This window comes from Homo sapiens, chromosome 7, assembly GCF_000001405.40.
Source record: "Homo sapiens chromosome 7, GRCh38.p14 Primary Assembly".
In the NCBI taxonomy this organism is placed as follows: Eukaryota; Metazoa; Chordata; class Mammalia; order Primates; family Hominidae; genus Homo; species Homo sapiens.
This window is the reverse complement of record NC_000007.14, coordinates 98,608,693-98,631,663: the sequence shown is the minus strand read 5'-3', so window position 1 is coordinate 98,631,663 and position 22,971 is coordinate 98,608,693. Positions and strand designations below refer to the sequence as shown.

The 22,971-nt window shown below is 49.7% G+C and overlaps 1 protein-coding gene across 1 annotated transcript, besides 3 other annotated features; it reads right to left on the bottom strand.

The window, feature by feature from the left end:
* NPTX2 (neuronal pentraxin 2) lies at positions 1,795 to 14,379 on the bottom strand. The gene is made up of 5 exons (NM_002523.3): positions 13,777 to 14,379; positions 11,805 to 12,021; positions 6,498 to 6,742; positions 4,320 to 4,499; positions 1,795 to 3,262 (listed from the first exon to the last, which is right to left on the bottom strand). Exons 1-5 carry the CDS (start codon positions 14,200 to 14,202, stop codon positions 3,035 to 3,037), a joined length of 1,296 nt encoding a protein of 431 aa, NP_002514.1. The 5' UTR covers positions 14,203 to 14,379; the 3' UTR covers positions 1,795 to 3,034.
* Positions 2,120 to 2,733: an enhancer, noted in NCBI's record as "H3K4me1 hESC enhancer chr7:98258243-98258856 (GRCh37/hg19 assembly coordinates)". NCBI's record gives its function as "activates a minimal SCP1, AML or CMV promoter by ChIP-STARR-seq in primed H9 embryonic stem cells {active_cell/tissue: H9 hESC(primed)}" and the evidence as "EXISTENCE:reporter gene assay evidence [ECO:0000049][PMID:30033119]".
* Positions 4,822 to 5,328: an enhancer, noted in NCBI's record as "H3K4me1 hESC enhancer chr7:98255648-98256154 (GRCh37/hg19 assembly coordinates)". NCBI's record gives its function as "activates a minimal SCP1, AML or CMV promoter by ChIP-STARR-seq in naive H9 embryonic stem cells {active_cell/tissue: H9 hESC(naive)}" and the evidence as "EXISTENCE:reporter gene assay evidence [ECO:0000049][PMID:30033119]".
* Positions 12,925 to 13,551: an enhancer, noted in NCBI's record as "H3K4me1 hESC enhancer chr7:98247425-98248051 (GRCh37/hg19 assembly coordinates)". NCBI's record gives its function as "activates a minimal SCP1, AML or CMV promoter by ChIP-STARR-seq in naive H9 embryonic stem cells {active_cell/tissue: H9 hESC(naive)}" and the evidence as "EXISTENCE:reporter gene assay evidence [ECO:0000049][PMID:30033119]".

The window sequence follows — 22,971 nt, the reverse complement described above, 5'->3', positions numbered from 1 at the left end:
CAGTTTGCTATCAGTATCTTTCCAGCCTTGTACAAAAAATAAGTCTTGAGGCTGGGCGCAGTGGCTCACGCCTGTAATCTCAGCACTTTGGGAGGCCGAGATGGACGGATCACAAGGTCAGGAGATCGAGACCATCCTGGCTAACATGGTGAAACCCCATCTCTACTAAAAATACAAAAAATTAGTTGGGCGTGGTGGCGGGCACCTGTAGTCCCAGCTACTCGGGAGGCTGAGGCAGGAGAATGGCGTGAACCTGGGAGGTGGAGGTTGCAGTGAGCCGAGATCGCACCACTGCACTCCAGCCTGGGCGACAGAGCGAGACTCCGTCTCAAACAAACATACAAAAAGAGTCTTGAGTGGGGGAAACTGAGGCCACAGGTCTCCTTCACATGGGAGGATCAAGGCATAAGGAACTTGCTGGATTGCATAAATGATTCTTGTTTCTGCTTGTATGTCAGGAGGACCAAACTGCCAACAGGAGGACTGGTGTGCGGCTATGATATGGAGAGGTGGTTCTCTCATCTTCAGGTCAGATCAGCAAGGAGCAGTTTGATCCCATGTTGTGGGCTCAAAGCTCTTCCAGTTGCAGGGAGGAAGTTATCTGGCTCAGCAGCGTTTCCAAAGCCCTGATGCAAAGCGATGCTCTTGTGGGAGGCAGTGCCTGGGAAAAAAGTTGGGCTGGCTCAGCACCTGGCATGCATATGAAGTGAGGAAACCCCTCAGCACCTTTCAGGGGGAGATCTGAGTAGCTGGTGTTTCCAGCATGAAGGAGATTCAAAACAAACTGCTCTCCGCCTGGTCTCAGCACTTTTGAGTTTCAAAGGTCCCTGAGCAGGATATCTGGCCTCATTTCATGTTCTACCCAACACCAGTGGTATTTAGTTCTTGCCAAGTTATACTTCACAACATCAAAAATGGACTCCAGGAACCTCTGTGACCTGCCGGTCTTGGTTTTAGAGGTTATGGCTTCCATTTCAGCCTTGGTATCAAGTACATCTGGCATAAGTTGTCAGTTGGCTCCAAGATTAGGCTCTGCTCCGCAATTATAATAGAAATTGACATTGCTACTTGGAAAAGGCCGCAATTATAATAGAAATTGACATTGCTACTTGGAAAAGGGACAAACTAAGTTACATTCTGCAGCTACCAAGACAGAGTAAAACGACAAAAGTGGAAAGAGGTGGTGGTGGTGGGCGGTGGGGGGGATCTAATGCTTGTGAGACCATCAACGCACCAGCCAGGGCCAGGTGAGCACAGAGAGGCGGATCTGGGAGGACACAATGGCACTGGGCCCCTTGGAGTGAGCAGTGGAAGGGACAGAGCCCTCAGAGCCACAGGACGGCTTTGAGCCCAGCTCTATCCTCTATCGGCTGCATGATCCCAAAATAGCTTTAATTGTTGTGTATTCACCTGTAAAATGGGATTAGCTCATTCAGGGAGGATTCAATGAGATGTCTAAAGAACACCTACACAGAGTAGACGCTAAGCAGGTACCACACCTGGAAGGCGGCCGCAGGTCTTCTAGCTAAGCTGGCTCTCCTGGTTGAGAAGACAGGGGTGAGCTGGGGACAAGGAGCCTGGGCAGAGCCTGCCAGGCACCCACAGCCTGAGCCAGGCATTGAAATAGGAAGGATGGACAGCTGGACCACACCCTCCTCTAACCATCCTCAGCGCCCCCAAACCCACCAGAAGCAGGCTGCGGCAAACCAGAGACATCATCCTTCTGCCAGAAGTTGCAAAGCCCTACCCCTTCCCACCTTCAGCCCCAGAACATGAGGAAGACAAACACAGAAGCATCTTTCAGTGCACTTTAATCGAAATTCCATCATCAGAAGAGTTCTCGTAGCATACAATGTCAGGATGGGCATGTCGACTTGGTCCTACAAATGGAATATCCACAGATTTGCACTTCAAACATGTATGAAAAATAAAATATATAATATTTAGCTTTATAAATTTCCCCACTTAGTCACTTTATCTTTAAAATAAATTACTACTCCCGTCCAATACAGTGAGTAGCTTGGAGTCACTCAGACAATCTCTAGCCAAATGATCTCTGTTTTCTTGAGGAGTTCTGTAGGGAAATACTTGATGAAGACAGTCCAGTGCTTACAAGAATCAACATGAATTTAAAACGAGCACACTCTTCACAGTGGGGCGGAACATCAGAAAATGGGAGCCTTCTTCTAATGGCTGTTCTTTTCTGTTGGGAAAAAAAAAAAACAAATCCTCCAAACCACACCGGATGGTTGTAAAAAGCTGCAACGGAACCTTTGGCACCAGATGAGAAGAGAGGCCTTTTAATGCCATAGCTAGTGATGATTCAGTCAAAGCATCAGTCTAAGGAAGGATGATGGGGGAAGGGACCGGAGATCACAGCCCTTCTCCTTTCTGAGCCCCCCTCCCCCCCGATGTCCCCTTTCTGGAGACACAGACAGCCCCTCTGCTTTGGGGAAGGCGGGGCTTTGTCTGGGCAGGCTGGGCGTTCTTCAGACGGGAAGATTCACAATGTATAGAACACAAAGGGAGAGGCCCTTTTGCAGATCGGGGGGTAGCCGCTTGCTGCGAGCTTAGTCACCAGCGGGGATGCACTCAATGCACAAGGGACATGGCCACTCCAGCGGGACGGCTGCACAGCCATGAAAGGGGACAGACAGAAGGGGTGCACGGGACACCAAGGAACTGGAAGGCGGCAGGACTCAGGCTGCGATAGCATTTACAGGGGCTCTGAAGAGGGGCTGCTGGACCTGCCTCCACTTGCAGCAGGAAGGCAGATATCCACCCACTTGGGGCAGGTGTCTTGGGGGCATCTTCCCAGGGGACCCTGGCACTACTTCAAACAGCAACAGAATATTGGTAGGGAACAAACAAGCCAGTGACAGACACTGCCCCAGCCCTGGTCTTAGAGATTCCTGGGGAATGAGCTCTGGGAACCCTGAGCCCAGACTGACAAGAGTTTAAGTGGGGCAGTCTATGGCCCTGAACTTCCATGGCAACAGCCTGATCCCGGCCTCCTGGACAGAGGAGAAGGCGGCTACAAGTCAAGGAGACGCTCCTCACACGTCTCCACGGGCCACTTGGAGGCCCCTCCGAACACATCGACGTTATTGTCCACCCACGGGATGATGTTGCCCGGCATGTTTGTGGAGCAGTTGGCGATGTTGACAATTTCTTGTGCGCGAAGGACGCGGTCCCATATGTTGAACTGGCTGAGCTCCCCGACAAATGCCTGAGTGGCATCAAACCTACCCCCCACGGTGTCCTGGGGAATGGGAACAAGAGAGCTGCGTCAGGGCTGGTTCACAAGTCCCCCTGCACACGGGCTGCAGACAGGAGATTTGGGCATTTCTCTGATGCCCCCCAGCTCTGACCAACACTACCTGTTTCTGTAGGTTCTGAAGCTCCCAGGCATGTCAGAACTGGGAGGTGGCATCGCTCAAATCTCCCCATTTTATACAGGGGAAACTGAGGCTGGTAAGGGAAGACACTGCTCAAAGTCCCAAAGCCAGGATCAGAGCCAGGTCTCATGACTCCCAGCCCCTCCCAGCGGAGATGTAGCAGGGGAAATTGAGGGAGGAGTGGGCCAAGAAGGAACCAGACTCAAAGCCCCCCAGTGCACCTGGAGTCTACGCCCCACTGTCCATCATCAAAAACCCAAATACAGACTGGAATGCCAACACTTATCTGTCCTAGACCAGACAGCCAACTTAGCCATTCCCTCCCCTAGATGGTAAGTTTCTTGAGGGCACTTTGAGGTGCCACCCTTTCATCCCTGTCTCCCCCACAGGCTGAGCACCCACTATGGATTACCTAAGTGCCCCTTGCTGGGTATCAGGGTTAAGACCCTGAGCAGGGGGCTCCTGGAAGACACCAGCCCCACAATCCTGAGTTGGTACCATGAGCATCCCAGGAGGGTCCCTCACACAGCCTCCTCCCAGATGGAAGCTGGAGCCTGTGTCACGAGATGACCCATGACCACAGGGACACTCACACCCCTCTGTGCCAGGTTCTATTTGGAATCTGTTTGAACCACACACCCACCTGGTCCCTGCCATGCAGGCCGTGACCCCACGCCCAACCTCTAACCACAGGACAGCAAGGGCCAGGCTGCGGGGGTTCTCACTCCCCCGACCTGGCTGTCAGGACACTGTGGCCAGGTCTGAGGGGCCAACAGCTGGGGCCGGGAGCAGGAACAGCTGCAGGCCTGGCCTCGTGCTGCTCAGTTGGCCCCTCCTCGCACCATCCCTGAAAGGGCGCACGGCCACCCTGTGCCCATCCTGCACCCACCCTGTGCCCACCTGCACCTGCCCTGCACCCACCTGCTCTTGTCCAAGGATCAGCACGCCCCCGGGCTTGATGGGGTGCCAGGGGGCCAGGTTCTCCCCAGTGCCCAGCTTCTCTCCGTCCTGGAATGCCTCCCACATGCCATCCCGTGTCGTCCAGGTGACACAGATGTGGTGCCACTTGCCGTCACTGACAAACAGGGGCAGCTGCGCAACCTGTGAGCAGCAATGTGCAGGTAAGGACCTGCTGGGCCCACGCCCTCAGGGTCCCCCAGGGCAGGAAGCAGGAAGGACACCCCACAGTCCCCCTGGGCCACACTGCTCCTCCTGTCACCGGGGTCATGCGTGGAGAACATGCAAGGGGGCAGCCTTGGTGGAAACCCTGACCCCAGAGCAGCCCTCACATTAATGGGACACCCTTGGTGCCTGGCGTGGCTGAGGACCGAACAGATGTGAGGGTCAACACCCCCACGCTGGCCCTGAGCTCTCCATGCCAGAGAAACTCGGGAAGTCAGCGTTCCATGGGGCCAGTCTCCTTGGAAAACAGACGAGAGATCCTCATTCCTCATGCCAAGTCCCAAACCTCCATGATGGCACGCAGGGATCTGTGTGCTGCGGGTGTGCCCCGTCCTCCCTGCGCAGCGGCACGTGTGTGAGTATCTGTGTGAGCAGGGAACTCACGGACAGCGTGAGGAACTGGGGGGAGGACGCTGCCACTGGCCGGGTCCCTGGCGGTCCTGCAAGCACTTTCTATGCAGGCTCGCCTATGAACCACCGCGTTGTTGCTGCTGGTCTCCTAGCAACCCGAAGCCTCCCTCCCAGGAATTCGATGTTTACAAGCCGTCCAAACCCAGAGGACAACAAGGCTCTTAGCCCCACTGTGTCATAGGGTGTTATTTAGAACAATTATTTAACCCCTGGCTCAGGCAAGGGGGTCTATCTAGGAGGAGCCCAGCAGGCTGATGCCACAGCGTTTTTTAAACCTCGACAGACTCCACCCAGGGCAGTTCAGTGAGGACAAACAGAGTGAGGGGCTGAACTGCCCCCGCCTCCACCAGGGGTGGCCCGGGTGGCAGGGAGTTTGCGTAGCCACTCAAATGCCCAAATCCGGACAGGTTCTGAGAATGTTCTTTTTGTTATATGGAGTCTGCCATTAGAATGAAAGTTTGGAAGCAGGGCTGTGAGAGGTCCCCAGGAGGCCCAAAGTGGCCTTTTTTTTTTTTTTTTTTTTTTTGAGACAGGGTATCGCTCTGTCACCCAGGCTGGAGTACAGTGGTGCGATCATAGTTCATTGCAGCCTCGACATCCTGGGCTCAAAGCCATCTTCCTGCCTCAGCCTCCCGAGTAGCTGGAACTACAGGTGCACACCACCACACCTAGCTAACTTTCTAATTTTTTGTAGAGAAGGGGTCTTGCTATGTTGCCCAGGCTGCTCTTGAACTCCTGGGCTCAAGCAATCCTCCTGCCTCGGCCTCCCAACACACTGGGATTACAGGCATGAGCTACCATGCCCAGCCCTTGAGAAGACCACTCCTGAATGCCAAAACCAAGCAGTCTATTAAGAAGGGGCATTTGCTCTGGAAAAGGCAAGACCATGGGTATACATAACAGGTCAGCAATGGCCATGGGCTGGGGCTGGGATCAGAGTTAACTATGAAGGGGTATGAGGGGGTTTTGGGGGGTGATGGAACTGTTTTATATTTTTTCATCGTGGTGGTGGTTACACAACTGTGTGCATTTGTTAAAACTTCCTGAATTGTACATTAAAATGGGTACACTTTGCTGTATGTAAATTATATCTCTAGAAACCTGACCCCCACCAAAATATGCTTGTGGGGAGTCTCTTACACTGAGACACACACACCCCCTTAATCAGTGTGGCCCTGGGGAACAGCCCTCACTGACCGGCCTGAGGTCCTCTCTCAATCCAGGCTGCACACGGAGATCTGTTCCTTCTGCCCTTCCATGGCCTAGGTGCCTGGACCTTCTGCAGCTTGGTGGTTGGACTCACAGCTCGGCCCCTCCCCACCCCGCCCCTGTGAGCCGCCCGGCGTGTGCAAAGCTATCCCCACCTCGAGGAGGACAGCCCCGCAGTCCCATGTCTGGGACACTGCTGTGTGGCCCGAGGAGGGCGAGGACGGCTGGGGTGGGGGCTGTGGCTCCCTCCACCACATGATGGGTTCTGGGGAGGGTGGCGGTGCAGGCGGGCCTCACCTTGTCGTTGATGAGCAGCTCGATGGGGTTGTTGCCCCACTCGATCAGCACGATCTCGTTGGCCTGCCCTGGCACCGCATAGGAGAAGGGGGTGCCAATGCCTGGTGAGGCGCTGGACCGCAGCCACAGGCAGATGGTGAAGGCGTACAGCTCAGGCAGCGTCTTCTTGATCTTGCCGTATAGGTAGTTTGTGCGGAGTGGGAGGGACACCTTGAACGCATCTGGTGACTTAAAGGCGCTATTGCCTGGGGGTTGGGAGGAAGAGAGGCCAGGAGTGCGTTAGGCCACCCCACCACCCACCAGCACGGCCCAGAGCCACATCTTGCTAGACCCACAAGAAGGTCCCTCACACAGCCTTGATGGACCCTCCAGCAAGCGACCAAAGACCGCTCCACACCAGCCACTGATAAAAGGCTGAAGTCTGGCAGGATTCAGGACACAAGATGGAGTCCTTGTCCTTAGGGAGCTTACATTCAGGCAGGGAAGGTGACATGAAACCAGCAGCAGGTACGCGAGGGAAGTCCAGGCAGTGGCTCCTGCTAAGACGGGGAGTGGCCGGGGGAGGGAAGGCAGAGGATGCAGGGAAGGCCTGGAAAGACCTGCAGAAGAGAACCCCAGACACAGGTGACAGCAAGTACAGGGCCCCAAGGACGCCCAGAAAAGGAAAGAAAAGGAAGATTTTGTGGGCACTGCATGGGGCACGTTAGAGAATTTAGCTCCATCTTTTAGGACAGGAAAAGAGGCCTCTTGAAATCTAGAAGAAAAAAAGCTCTTGGATGGGTGCAGTGGCTCACACCTATAATACCAGCATTTTGGGAGGCCGAGGCAGGAGGATTGCTTGAGGCCAAGAGTTCGAGACCAGCCTGTGCAACATAGCAAGACCCTGTCTCTACAAAAAATTTAAAAAATTAGCCAAGTGCAGTGGCTCATGCCTGTAATCCCAGTGCTTTGGGAGGCTGAGGTGGGAAGACTGCTTGAGCCCAGGAGTTCAAGAACAGCCTGGGCAATACAGCAAGACTTCATCTCTACAAAAAATATAAAAATTAGCTGGGTAGGGTGGCACACACCTGTGGTTCCACCTACTCAGGAGGCTGAGGTGGATCGCTTGAGCCTAGGAGGTCCAGGCTGCAGTGAGCTATGATTGCATCACTGCACTCCCACCTGGGTGACAGAGGCTCTGTCTGGTTCCTTCTAGTTAATACTCTCTTTTCATAAGTCATATTAGGTGACTAGAAAGCTTGAGGAAGGAGCAGAAGAAAGGTAGATTTAATTTTCTTGTGTTAAGCCAGAAACTGCGTCCTTAGCCACATCTTATAACTTCAGATATTTCCTTGAAATCTTCGCAGGATCTAGGAACCCTGGAGACTTGGGCTTAGAAGAAGGAAGTCTTACAGGGACCCAGGCACCCAATAAACACTTGTCAAGTGAATGAGTCTGTGTCACTCCTCACATGAAAGAATTACCACTGCCGAGGTGAAGCAGTCAGGCTCCCGGGTCTTGACTCCATAACTTAACTCAAAAGTGGCTTTTTGGTCTAAATCCCTGACAAAAAGCACTTTGCTCTTTTCCTCCTCAAGAGAAGACTGAGTTTATTGATCATTTCCTGTAGTCTGGAGCCAGTGGGAGGCAGGGCAACCGCAGGTGTCTCTCCTCATTTAGGGGAACACACCTGGTCACAGCCTTGGCCCTTCCAGACCTTCCTGGAATTGGTGAGAATCCACCCGCCACCCCTATGTCATTGGCACTTCTAAAATCCTTGAAAACAAACTCTAGAATGGGTTTACAATATTTCCAAGGCAGCCTTGGTTGAAGTTCAAAATTAAGTAAACCACAGCGGCAGCCCTTGTCCAGGCATCGTGGATTCCAAAGTTTGCAGGACACCATTTGATTGTGCCAGCTGTCATGGCAAAGGCGGCCCTCTTATTTGAGAACCAGACCCTGCCGTTGAAGGAATCTAAACGCCCTTCACTCATTCAACAAGTGTCGGTTAAGCATCCACAAGGGCTCAGACAGTCTCCGAGGCCATCAGAGACAGGCGGGCTCTCTGGAGCCAGAACTGCCTGTGTCACTGTGGAGTTAAATCAGTCCCTACTGCACAACATGAGCCAGAATAGATAAACCTTTCTCCACCACAATCCCCCAAACTCATTGTCCCTCAGAGTGAATAATACACACGAAAGGCTCTTGGGGGCCGCAGTTCACATCTATCTAAGGAGGGTTTCTGCAAAGGGGCACAGAAGAACCCCCTATCCCCTTTCTAACCTCTCTGGAACAGGCAGTGTGTACATTCTAGAATCTGGGCTTCACGTGTTGCATGTACTCATATCTGCCAATGGTGGCCTCCCGATTGCTCCTGACCTCCTAAGGATGGGCACCTCTCGATGCCACTGCAGAGCTGCTGGGCACCTGGCGAGGGCTGGGAAGACCTGCTCCCCGAAGAAGTCAAGGGGCCAGGCCAGAGTGAAGGCTGGGACTAGTCTCTCATTAGGCTGAAAAGCAAAACTGAGAGAGAGAACCAGAGTGTCCCTACTCCCCCATTTTTGCAGGTTGCACAGTTGAGGCTCGGAGGCTCAGCGAAGTGAGGTGACGTATCCAAGGTCACACAGCTAGTGAATGACAGGCCAGGGGCCGGAAGTCCCTCTTTCCACGACACTTAGCCACTCACACTTAATCTTCAAGTGGCAAATGACCATGTCCTTAATGAAGGCATCATTGTCTAATAAAGAGAAATGGCTGCTATACTTGCGGGAGGGCAGCCTTGCCAATCTGATACGACTCCGTGTGGGTAATATTGTTAGCTTGGTGACAACAGATAGGTTTAATTAGAGCTGGAAGAGCCGAGGGGCAGAGGAGGGGGCCTGTACCCTGAGAGCCAGTGTCTTTTATTTAAATAAAACAGCTTGGCGGTTTGGAGGAAACTTGGTTAAAACCAATTAAGGAATTAAAAGGCCTGACCAATAAATCAGACACTGCAGGTGGCGGAGAGGCTCAGCAGGGGGTGGGCAGCCTGGGGCTGGAAGAGAGGCAGCTTTGGTTTTCTCAGCAGCAACATTTATTTCAACACTGAGCTGGGCAGTGCCTGGACAGCTGGCCTGGACTCTGGAGGCCCTTGCAGAGGAACAGGTCTTGCAGCAAAGAAAAGCAAGCAACCCTGGGCCCCGGGTGGCAGGGGCATCCATATGCCAGGGGTCAGGCGCTTGCTGGGGGCTCCAAGGAGCCTCCGACGCAGCAGGGCTGGGGCCCACACACCGCTCCAGGCTGCAGCCTCCATCACTCCTCTGGGGCCCCACCAACTTCACTCCCAGCTCTGCAATCTGCTGGCAATGTGAATGCAGGCATCACTTTAGTTCTCTGACTTGAGTCCCTCGTCTGAACTAATCCCTACCTTGCAAGGTCATGTCAGGGATTACAGAATGCCAAGTGTGGAACTCACAGCCAAGCATCTGGTCCCTAAGGGGTGGAGGCTGACAGACCAAAGGCCAGAGTTCCCCCACCAAGGCCCCCTGCCTGTAGTGAGGTTAAGGTCTAGCTACTCTGGGTTCAGCTGGATGTGTCTAAGAAACTTGGCATCGTTTCCAATCATAGTACATGTGGAGGGCTGGGCGTTTACTCATCTCTCTACAATTGTCACAAACAGGACACTCAGAATTGCCCAGAAGACAAACTGGTCTGCAAATGATCACTTTCCTTAAAGCACATCCCAGAGCTGAGTTGGTGGAGCTCACAGAAGGATTCTAGAGTTCCCACGGTGGGATGAAGAGAGGCTGGGCTGCCTCTCTGGGGTGCATAAATGGCCAGCAGCGTCTTTGCCCTCGTAGAGGTGAGCTTCCCCTCTGTGCCAGATGAGCTTTGAGGGCTTGCTGGGAAACTAAAGGGTCAGGAGTCAGGCTGGCGGGGTCTGAGTCCTGACTGTTTCTTTCTGGCTGGTAATGGACAGGCTGGGGATGAAAGGGACAGTCACAAAGTGGCAGCTTCTGGGTGGCCAAAGCCATGATGATGGCTTACCTTAGGAGTAAGCCCAGTGAAATGACATTGGCCTTGAGTGAGAGAAAGAGAAGGAGGAGGTGCAGGTTGATGTGACTGTCACTGTTTGCCAGCTAGTGGCCCAGGACCCACTTTGGGCCCCCTCCCCAAAAGATACATGTCCCACTGAGAACGGAGTCTTTTTCTCATCTATGAAACGGGCATACCAGGAGTCTGAGCTCCCGCCTGGCATGACTGAAGCTCTGGCTCACTATTCTGCTATTTACCCACCTCCTCATGGCAACTTGGCCACTGTGCAGAGGGAGGTTTACAGCCACCAAGGTCTCTCATGGAGCCCTCCTCTCGTTCCACAGTTCCCCTTTCGAGAGGCAAACTACCTTTAGTGTGCCAACTCCATAGCCCTGGGTGTCCCGAGGATCCACTGTGGCTCAGGCTGGGTCCACGGAGCCACGCTCACCTGTGCCTAGACGTTCCCTCCTCCTGTCATGGGAGGAGGGCCACAGCAACGGCTGCTTTACCTTCAGGGATGGCTCCTGAGGCCACCCAGCAACAGAGGGGAGACAGAAAGGAAGATTTTTTGGAAACTCAAGAATCTAACAGATCTAACAGGTAAGCCATACTCACCTTTTTCTGAGAAGGGCCAGGAAGAAAGGATAGGTTTTTCTGTAGGAAGAGACTAGGAAAGGGATGAAAGAGACCTGTGGCTTGTGGATGCTGGCTGTAAAATGGAACAGTAACACCAGCCCCTTCTCCATCTGCCCCACCTCGGCCAAAGTCATTGGATGTTCTGCTATTGGGCATCCTCCTATCAATGCATGAAACGGAGTCATGGGGAAGTGGCTTCATCAGCTTAGTGCATCTGGGAAAATTCCAGTCTTATAAACACCCACTACGGGCAAACCTACAACTTCAAACCCAAGCCACCCAGTGGTTTGGGGGTTGATGACGCAATCTGAATTATCCCCTGATCCCTCCCACTCTGTCTCCTGTGGGAGAAACTTACTCACCACAGTGTGAGCAGAGAAGAGAAAGATACACAGAATCCGCTGCCAGGACTAGTTAACAAAGGACTGAAACGCCCGTGTGGTTGCTTATCGAAGCTGGTCCTGGACACTTTCACTTTTCCCTGGATAATGCCAGTGGGGCTGGCAGCTCATTCCTGAGATGACCTTGTTCAGTCGCCTTTATTATTTGCTCACACACTCGGGAACCAGGCCCATGTGGTGTCACAATCCCTGCTGTCCATCAACCAGAATCGCATGTCTGACCACAAGTGGTGAAAATCAGGCCACTGCCAGACAGAGAAACAGGCCAGGCACACACCTCGCTCCAGCTCGGTGACCCTCTGCAGCAGCGCGTTCAGGGTGCTCTCGGTCTTCTGCCGGTGAGCCGAGGTCTCATTGTGCAGCAGGGACTTCTCGTCCTCCAGCTCTGCCACCTTGCGCAGAAGCTGCCTCTCCAGCTCCCCCAGCCGCTGCTGGAGCACCTCGCGGAAGTCGCCGGGCAGCCCAGCATTGGACACGTTTGCTCTGAGCTGGTGCTTTCAGCCACCGGGGAGGAGGGAGGGGCACAGAAAGAGTTAAAAAGAAATTGTGAAATGTGGCTGTGATGGCCCGACCACACAGGGAGAAGCTTCCAAAACGCAAGCCCTGAATCTTGCCACTGGCAGGCAGGGGAGCATCTCACTGATGCTTTTTTGGTATGGAAAAGATTTCAAAGTCAGATAAGAATTACTTTGCTGCAATATTTGAAACTTGTGAATCTAATTTTCCCTTCTCAAAAAGCCGTTTTTCTCCTCTTACTAAAAAGTCAATATTCTAACCAACGCCTAGAATTCTATGTTGGGTAGAGACCAAAACTCAGCTCCAGGATTTTTTTTCTTTTTTAAGAGTAAATCGATGGTTACACAAAGCCAAGGAGCTTTCACCTAGAAATGAAAACAGCCCCCAAGTTCCGGTCTGGCACCAAGGTAAATAACTATGCATGCAGAGATGTTTCTGGAAAATGACAGATCTAAAACGTTGCTATTCTGAACTCCAGCAATCTTTGTTTTTAATGCTGTTTCTAAATCCTCACTTCCTATTTCTCTTTCTCCCCTACCATCATGTGGTTCTGGAGGCTGTGGCAGGCTGCCTACCCATGAGTTCATGGCAAGCTATTTACCTTTCTCCACAAAGTGTTCCAAATTGTGAAATGCACATAATGGGACCTGCCTCATGCCATTCATTGTTCCAAGGATTAAAAAATTAAATGATGTGCCTGACTCATATTTAGTGCTCCAGAAATGTTAGCTGTTAGCAATCACAATGAATCAGGGGATATACAGATGCTGGAAATACTGTATTCAGCCCTCACGCCAAAAGAAACCCTAGAGTCATTTTTGCAATAATTACCACCTGTAATTTAAACCTAGTTTTGCTGAGAAGTATTTTCACAAAGGCTATTAACAGCAGTGTCCACACTTCTTAAAAAGGGTGGAGCCTAAAGATGAAAAATAATTGAAGATTTTTCTCTCAAAGTTCCAAACTGCACGCATTTTCAGAGATAGAGATGAGACGGAGGCGGGAGCGGGGGGCGGGGGGGGGGGACGGAGGGGGAGGGGGGGAGGGGGGGAGAGAGAGAGAGAGAAGGGAATGAGGTCCCTTCCCCTGAAGCAATCCGGAAGAGCACCTTAAAATGGTCCAACTTGCAGACACGGGAGTCTTTGAAGTTAACCAGAGGTTGCCCCTCTAATGCGCGCTCTGGGGTCGCCGGTGACCCCCTGCGCTCGCCTCCCTGCGACCTCCGCCCCCAGACTTCCGCCCCCTCTAGCTCAGCCTGACCTGATTTAAAGAAAGAAACACCACATGCCCGGGGCAGCTGACCTCCCGCGGCAGCCTCGCAGCAACCCGCACGGCCTGCGGGAGCGCATCCCGGCTCGCGGAGATTTGGAGATTTGCAAGAGGATAGAGGCTACCGCGTCCCCGGGTATTTGGCGCCCGCGGCTTGGCCGTCTGGGTTCGCTAGCCCGGACCTCGGGAAGTGCTCGGCGGATCCCGCTGGCAGTCCCGACGCGCGGGGGTGGAATTTAAACGTTTCCTTCCAGCAAGAGCAGCGGTGTGGGAAGGGATACCACGCAGGGGAGTTCCCGAGCAGGATCTAGATCCCCGCCTTTCACCCTCAAGTCCAGCTCACCCCCACGGACGATCACACCCTCCCCAGGGCCAGGCCCCCTTTCCCCATCCTCCCGAGTCTTCCGCCCCCGACTCGGGAGCGTCCCCATTCCAGGTCCCCCGCGCTCCCCGCGGGCCGCTACCTCGAGGCTCTCCAGGCGGTCCTTGAGGGTCTGCAGCGAGCGGCTGAGCTGCTCCACGACGTGGCCGGGGTCCCGCGGCAGGTCGCCCATAGTGTCCTTGCCCGTGGCCCCCGCGCCGCGCGCCTTGCCGCCCGCCAGCCCCTCGCAGCGCGCTAGCTTGCCCGTGAGCTCGCGGATGGCCTCGCGCTGCGCGCCCAGCGTCTCCTTCTGCTGCACGACGGTCTCGCGCAGCTGCAGCACCGCGGCCCTCAGCTCCTCCTCGGGACTCTGCGCGCCGCCCTGCATGGGCATCGCGGGCAGCGGGCAGCCGGCGTGCACCGCCTCTGGGGGCAGTGCCGTGCACACGAAGCGGCTACCGGGCGCCGGGCTGTCCTGGGCCCCAGCGGCCACGGCGAGCGCCACGCTGGCGGCCAGCAGCGCCAGCATCCCGCCGCCGCTGCCGCGCTCAGCTCGGCATGGGCGAGCGGGCGCCGTCGGGGCGCTCCGCGGGAGGCGCCTTCGCTGCTGGCAGTAGCCGCGCTGTCGTCTCGAGGGTCGCGTGCACCGCGGGGCAGAAGTCTCCTGCCGTCTCACAGCCGCACCCACCGCGCTGCTCGGCACTCTGGCCTGCCGGGTCCGCGCGCCCTTTCTTAAGCTGAGGGGCGGAGGGGGCCGGCGTGTGGGGCGCGCGCCACGAGCTCTGATTGGCTCGGCCGGGTGCGCGTCACGCAGTGGGCGGAGCGGGGCGGGGCGGGGGCGCTTTCCGTTGCGCGCCTGGCGGCCGGGCGGGAGCGTGGGCCGGAGCCTGAGGCGAGAGCGCGAGGTCCCGGGCTCTGCCTCAGGAAAGGAGGCCTGAGGTGGAAAACGACACTGGGGCTCTCGAGAGCCTCGGCTGGCCGTGCCCAGGCGCCCCTCGAACCCACCCGAGGACGCGGGCGTCACAGGCTGAGGAGAAAGTGGGAACCCCTCGGTGTCCCGGTGCCCCTTTCTCAGGGTGGCTTCTGGCGCGGCACGGGGCCTCGCTGCGCGTTTGCCGCCGCCCTCAGGGAGGCGTTTTCTCCAGCAGGAGCAGCCCCCCAGGCGGGACTCGAACCCCGACTGCCATCGCGAGCCACCCCCGCGGCAGGCGTGGGCCTTCTCGTCAAGGCCCGGCCACCTCACTCTCGAGGCGGGAAGGAGCCGCACGACGGCCGCCTCCGGATGCAACGGTCCCCGGGACGCGCTCCATGGCCCCGCCTCCACCCCCCGCGCCAACTCGGAAAACGCTCGGGAAGAATCCCGGGGGCCTCGGGGACCGGGACCAGGACCAGGCGCCGGACGCTGATGGGAAGGAGGGGACACCCGGAGTTAGGGACAAAGTCACGAGGCCACTCGCAGAGCCCTCGCGCGCGTGTTCATCGACTGCCCCCTGGGCGGTGACCTTATTCAGCAAGACCTGAGCTCAGGGGCGGGGTGACATCTAACTGGAGTCATCATGATGGAGCCACGTGGTCCAACAGTGCCCGGTCCTTGTAACCAGGAGGGCCCGCAGTGTCACCACTTCCTCGAAGTGAGGCCACTGCCCTCAGCTTCTTGGAGACAGCAGATATGAGCAGAAACCCCCAAAAGTCAGGAGCAAATTTGTTTCAGAATCTCTCCAAATCTGTGGCTTAAAACAAGTTCAGAGGGATTTTGGTGCACAGCTACAGACTGAGCTGGTTTACTGCACATTTATAAATGGAAATCTTTATTTCTTTTCCTCTCTATGTTTTTAAGAAATCCTGTTGCAAGGTCATTAATCACGTTATCCATTATACCACAAACAAATGGATTTGTCACTTGTGCGCAGAAGCCGAGGTTGATTCTGAAAGCAAATTGTACCAAAATAAATGAAATTATTATGATAATATAAACTAGACTGCAGTGATTAATCTCTAGAAACCAAATTCTGACCTGCTTTGCACTTCAAACAATAGCTTCTATTATGTAAATAGTTGTGGGGTTTTCAAGGACATTATTGCTAAATTATAAGAAAAGTTCTATTCTTGAAAATCTCTTCGTGGATAAAAATGAGAGACAGGAACCTGGTCTGCAAGGTATCCAAAGCAGAGGACAATGGAAGTAATGATGGTTCAGGTAAGAATATTCATTAGCAGAAAAAGGTATGGATGGGAGATTTGGGGTGAGTAATGGGCTCATGTTTCTGTTAGCCTGCATCCCCAGGAGGTGTCAGTTTCACCTTGTTAAGTATGACCTTGACTGGACTCATTCTTCCTACATCCTTTTTCAGCTGGATGAAAACTCGAAAAAGTTCAAATAAACCTACATATGCACAAATTACAATAATGAAGGCAACAGGGTTGCAAAGCACTTTATGCCTTGTTACATTTCAGATGATTCATAAGGCACCAAATCCAGACGTTTTCAAAATTATTCAGATAACGATGTGACTTTTCCATTTTCACTCATAGCTTTGATGTTCCTCTTTACTTGTAGACCTAGGTGGCCCTTAATTGGATGTGACAATAGAGTATTATCGTTCCTGTATTGTTCCATATATCCTTTCTTGACACACAGACTGATACATTCATATTTGCAACTACTTGAAGTAGAAGCTTGTTCCTTTAATAATTAAACAAAATCAAGTATCTTTCCAGAATTCTAATTTCCTCCTGAACAAAGAAAGCAGTGTACAAGAGTAAAAATAGCATATATCCCAATATAATTACTCCTAAACGTCTTAAAAGAGATTCCAGTATGAGAAGTGATCAGTGAAATTGCCAAAGCTCAAATGGAAAGACCCAGACATTTGAAATGTTATTTTCTTTGGAGGCAGTATAATTAGAGGCTTAGTTAACAGAGTACATGCTATTTACAGTTTTATTTTATCTTCCTGGTGCAATGAAAAGCCTGCTGGCTTAGGAATGAGGGATCTAGTGCTAATTCTAACTCTGTCACTAGCTAAGTGGTTTGGGGCAAGTCATTTCTCCTCTGGACTTCAGTTTTCTTGCATATAAGATAAGGGAGGGGCGGGGGTTGGGCACGGTGGTTCACACCTGTAATCCCAGCACTTTGGGAGCCCGAGGCAGGCAGATCACAAGGTCAAGAGATCGAGACCATCCTGGCCAACATGGTGAAACCCCGTCTCTACTAAAAATACAAAATTTAGCTGGGTGTGGTGGCGCCCGCCTGTAGTCCCAGCTACTTGGGAGGCTGAGGCAGGAGAATCGCTTGAACCCAGGAGGCAGAGGTTGCAGTGAGCCAAGATCATGCCACTGCACTCCAGCCTGGTGACAGAGCGTGACTCCATCTCAAAATAATAATAATAATTTTAAAAAGATAAGGGGATTAGACGCAACTGTCTAAAGGTGCTTTGGCTGTACTCAAGAGCATGATAGTTTGAAAAAGAAGGAATCACTGTTGGTGTGAGGAACGTTTCAGAAACTTGTTTTTTCTGTGTGTGTTATTAACCACCTGTAGCCAAAGGTGAATGTGGAAAGGCAGGGTCGTTTTGTAGTACAGCAGGTAAACCTTCATACACGGAGACGCCGTAGTTGTGGTTAAAACCTGCTTTCGACAACACGAAAGCTCATACTGGGTTTACTCACAGCACAACAACTTTGTCTACCTGAAAGATCCTGCATGTATGACTCATGCTACCCATGAGGATGGTTATGTGAGTGGCAGAGACCAGGGCCCACAGATTTTCCTCCACTTGAAAAGTCGTGCAGATCTGCAGCAGTGAATCAGCTCCACCTAATCTCTTAGTGTAACTGATGCTGCAGCATAGTAACCACCCACTCATTCACTATGTCGGCTGGTCCCAGGTCAGCTGTGAGCCCAGTATGGACTTAAACCGTGTGCTGGGAATCCTGATGAGCTCATTCCGCCTCCATTTTATTGCCCCATCTGTTTGGTTCTCTTGTTCTTCTCACATGCATTTTTATCTTGGTCTTCTGGGAAATGTGCTAATTTCCACCATGGTGTGAGAGGATCCCATCTCATACTTTCTTACATTTCCTTCTCTCTTTCTCAGTGCCACTTGGGAAGTCAAGAATGAGAGTGTGAGCTCTAACAGAATCCAAGGACAGCTTCCTGCAAACATGATTCGGGAACTGTCCTCGGTGCTGAATTTCAATTGGAAGGGGGAAATAGACGTGTGTGTGTGTGTGTGTGTGTGTGTGTGTGTAAAGTTCAGTGCAGATAAAATAGAATTTGGAAGCTCCAGAGGATCCCTACTAACACACATTTATGCTTAAAATGCTAAGACGCTTTCAAGAGTGGATTTTTTTCCCCACTAGATTGAACTGCATGGTAGTGTGGAAAGAGCTTGAGCTTTGGAGTCAGACAGCTTTAGTTTCAGTCCCAGTTTTATGACTTGCCACTTTACCTTGAGAGAATGATTTAACCTCTCCCAGCCTCAGTTTTCTCATCTCTAAAATCAAAGCTAAATTTACTACAAAATATTGTTAGGCTTGAGTGAGATAATGTAAGTGAACATGTTTGGCATATAGCCAGTGCACAATAGATGATAATTGTCCTTTTCTTCCCCTTTTCTCCACTGAATTTAGACCTGTATTATGTAAGTCCCTTTAAAAACAAAGTTGAAAAAAATTCTTCCCTTTCTGCAATATTCTTTAGAGTTAAATAAGGCAAGAATACTTAAGAAAGAACAGGCCAGCCTCCCAAGAGGAAAGACAAGGGATGAAAACTTCAGGAAAATATACTGGTGTCTCAGCAAGATAAAGATATACTACTTTGTGGGTTTTTTTTTTTTTAAAAAAAAGATAAAGCATGGTATTATTGAGCTTTAATCAGAGGATTCAGTCAAAGTGAACTGTTTCACACCTACACTTGGGATATATCACCAGACTATGTGCCTGGACCCAACTAAAAAATTTGTAATATTTAACATCTCAGTGATTCTGAATTTGTGTTGCTACGGGACCCAAATAGATATAAGCCCCTCAGATAAAGCAAAATGTTCTTGCTTCAGTGCATCTGTGTTCTTCTTGAATAACATATTTCTGGCTAAATTTTGGGAGCATGTGAGATGAGACACTGAGTTTCAGGAAGTGGTGTCCCTGTACAAGTATATTATCACATTTAGCTAGAGAGCCGTGATTTAGGGGAATTGGTTGTTCATATTACTCAACTGATTTCAACAAACCAAAAAAGGCTTTTGGTGGCATCCTCTGATTTCAAGCAATAGAACGAGTCACCGGATATACCAGGGATAATGTCTTACCTCAGTTTTTAAAAGTAAGGGATAATAGACTGGGAGTGGGAGGAGGCTGAAGGAAGGAACATCATCAACTTAGTTTGCTTTGAGAAAATCTTCTATGAATGTAGTCTCAATTTCTCTATATTAGGAAACACCAAGAAAGTGCCCCACTTTCACATAACTTACAAGTGGTGAAATTGGCCTATTTCTGATAAAGACATGTGGCTCAATATCTCTGTATGATTCAGGCACACAGGTAGCTTGTATGAATCTTTGAAAGTGAGAGTTTGAAGATATTTTATAGAATTTTGAAGACTAGGAAACAGTTTGAGAAAGGTTAAAATGTCATATGGCAGCTAGATAGGAAGACTAGGTTCTGGTGTTCTACAGCACTGTAGGGTGAGTATAGCTAACAATAGTTTATTATATATTCTCAAATAGCTAGAAGAGAGGATTTTGAATGTACCCAACACAAAGAAATGATAAATGTTTGAGGTGATTGATATGCTAATTACCCTGATTTGATCATTATACATTGTATGCATGCATTGAAATATCACTCTGTGTCCTATAGATATGTACAATTATTACATGTCAATTAAAATTATGTTAAAGTAAAGACTTCCCCTCCCCACAAAATAAGTTCAAAACCATGCTAAAAAGATCATAGGGCTACTTAACAGCAGGGCCATGCTGGAACTCAGGCCCTCTGGTTTCCAGTAAGGGCTCTTTTCTCTGTATCACTCCCTAACATACTCATTAACCTATTAGAATGCTTGGTTTCTTCTTCAATAACTGCTTTCTTAAAAATCAATAATTTGCCATTAATTTCAATGTCCCCTTTTCTGTCATTCTCCTGGAACTCATCAGCATTGAACACTGTTGGCTAAGTCTTTTTTATTAGAATTTTCCAACATTGGTTTCTATGATATTGTATTCTTCTGGTTTTCTTCTTTGATTTCTGAACATTTTTTCCTTTCTTTCTTCTTTTCTGGACCTTCTTTCATTACCTGCCTCCTCAACACACATATTCAAAGTTGAACTGTCCATAGCTCTCTCCTTTCTCTCACTGTACTCTCTACCTTAACAGTTTGAAGTTTTTAAGTTATATTAATGATTCTGTCTTAGTTCATTTTCTGCTTCTATGACAGAATACCACAGGCTCAGTAACTTGTAAATAAAAGAAGTTTATTTGGCTCATAGTTCTGGAGGCTGGCAAGTCCAAGAGCATGGTGCTGGTATCTGGTCCATAGTGGAAAGGTGGAGGGCAGAAGCAAGTGCATATATCTGAGAACTACCAAGGGCTGGGCTTGCTTTTATAACCACCCACTCTAGTGATAATTGACCCACTCCTAAGATGATTGCAATAGTCCATTCATGAGGGCTCCCTCCTCATGACCCAGTTAATCCATACTTGGTCCCACCTCCCAAAACTGTTGCTTTGGGGGTTAAGTTTTTAACACATTAACTTTTTAAATTTTAACTTTAAGTTCTGATATACATGTGCCAGATGTGCAGGTTTGTTACATAGGTAAACGTAATACAGGAATTTTGAGGGACACAAACCGTAGCAGAAACTATCTATACTGAGTTCCAGATTATAATAAACCAACCGCATGTTGGACATCTCAAAGATAAACTACCCATACTTCTAACTCAATATGTCAGGTAAATTTATTGTTCTCTTTATTTTCCCTCTATTCTTCCTCCTGTTTCCTATTTCTTATGTCATTAATGCTTTCCAAGTCATTCAAATTCAAAACTTTGGAGACATCTGTATCTCCTCCACCCCCAATTTTATTCAAATTCTAGTGCATTTCTAAGTCCTAATTCTGCTTGTACAATATGCCAACTCTATTCTCACTGCTACAATCTCATTACTTCTGTTCTAAACTATACAGTTGCCTCTAACTGAACGATTCAGCTCTACAATGTCCATTTCAGCTTGTACATTCTATTGCCAGGTCAGTTTTCCTGAAGTACAGCACTAAAGCATTGATCTGCACTGCTCAGAAACCTTCATTATTTCTCTATGCAAATGTGTAAACTCTTTAGTCTCCATCATTTTTCCCCACACCCACCTATTCATTCCAATTTTTACTATATCCCTTGATCTACCCTCACTCCAAAGTAAACTTATGCTTTTCACAAATGACCCATATTTTTCATCCTCTGGCATTGGGACTCAGGTTGTTTCCCATATCTGGAGACAGATCTGGAATGATCTTTCTTGCATGTCTAGGACCACAAGACCCACTCTCATCCTTCACGGCTCTGCTTACACACTACCCCCTCCACAAAGCTTACCCTGATTTTGCTCAGTTTGAAATGACACAATAACGTTCTTTATTTCTCTTAGTACTTTAAGCCCTGCATTATAATTATCTTTTCTACTGGATTATGAGCTCTTTAATGGCAACATCTAGGTCTGATGTACTTCCTTCTTTCAATAAATATCTCTTGGATGTCATTGTACACAGCCATAATAGCATTGTGGGAAAGAAATGAAGGTTTTGCTCAACATGTAATCAATCCATTCTGCAACTTTGTAAGAACAAAGTTAGAATAGCAGGGGACATTTTCACGGAGGAGTTGGAAATTAAATTAGCCCTTGAAAAGGGTAATGGAGGATATGGTAGATAGGAAGTGCTGGGTATCTGGAAGAGGGGGCAAAAGAAGGGAAAGTTGAAGCCATTGGAGAAAAACAAGATATGTAGTTAATAATCTCTGACTTTCAGCCCTCTGTTCCAAATTGGTTCTCTGTTTCCAAGGATACCTTAGGATAAATTTATCTAATTTCCAGCAGCTATCACTCACCTACCATCGTGAGGAAGGACAGGGCCATTATTTTAGACAGGTGACCAAAACATCTACTTGCAAGAATGAACAAAGTGAGTAGTAACAATGTTCAGTTTTTAATTGAGCAAAGGGAAGTGGGAATTTGAGTCTGAAATGTCTACACATTCCAGACTTCCTGAAATTCTTCCATCTGGATTCCCAGATGGAAGTGTCACAGAAATGGTGGGGAGATGTTTAGCTGGTTTTTTTTTTTTTTTTTCCAGGCTCTATAACACCACTTGGTAGGGGTTAAAGTGAAATTATAGAGGAACAGACCTCTCTCCCAGCACTATTACAGGTTTTGAGATCGAGAAGCAACTAAAATTAGAGGGTCAGAGCCAAGACAAGTTCTCCAATGGTATATTCTCAACAGATTAGGTTCAGTGCAGCTTTGAGCTTTCAGCTAAAATTCTTATTGGCCCTTTCATCTCATTTAATCATTTATTCTCCCTAGAATCCTGATGTTCACACCCGGGATAGCCTTCTCTTAGCTGAATGAAAAGTGCAAAAAGACTGCATATTTGAGACTTCTATCAGAAAGGAATTGTACCATTACCAGCCTCCATCAGGAAAATATGTTCATCTATGTTCCAGATGTCCCATTGCCATCTCCACTCAGCCCTAGACCACAGGAAGTGAATTAAACCCTTCATGTACATTTGCTGCTTTTGTTGCAGAAGTAGCAGCTCATTCCATCCAGATTCTTTCTTCTTTTGCTCTGTGATTCAGTCTAGCTAATGAACAGCCCATCTGGGTTACAGGGGGTAGGAGATATTTCCCTTAAATATAAGCAGCCTAAATAAATCAATTCTCCAACTATGACTTTCTTCTCTCTTCAACAAGAATCAGTTAAGCAACCTTTATTTTACTCCCTAACTCAAATGAATCCCATTTGGATTCATTAGGAAATAGTTTAAAACCCTTAGAATGAAGAAAAAAATCTTCTGTGTAAAGTGATACTGTGTTATGATTGTTTTTAAGTCTAGCTTCCTGAGAACTACATAAGATAGTAAAAGGATTATGAGAACAAAGGCATTGTAATGTATTTGCAGCCTTGAGTCTTTGGGTTTGACAGAGAAGGTCAATTTAATCCAAAAAAAAAAAAAAAAAAGAAACTTATGGCATATGAAAGCAAAAAGAATCTGAGTCAATGTGTGGTATTTTAGGCCAAAGCT

Coding starts and splice junctions, on each gene's coding strand:
- NPTX2 (NM_002523.3), bottom strand. CDS start 14,202: ATGCTGGCGCTGCTGGCCGCCAGCGTGGCGCTCGCCGTGGCCGCTGGG. Junction 4,500..6,497: donor AGCTGCTCATCAACGACAAG/GTGAGGCCCGCC, acceptor TGCTGCTCACAG/GTTGCGCAGCTGCCCCTGTT. Junction 3,263..4,319: donor TGATCCTTGGACAAGAGCAG/GTGGGTGCAGGG, acceptor CCCATTCCCCAG/GACACCGTGGGGGGTAGGTT.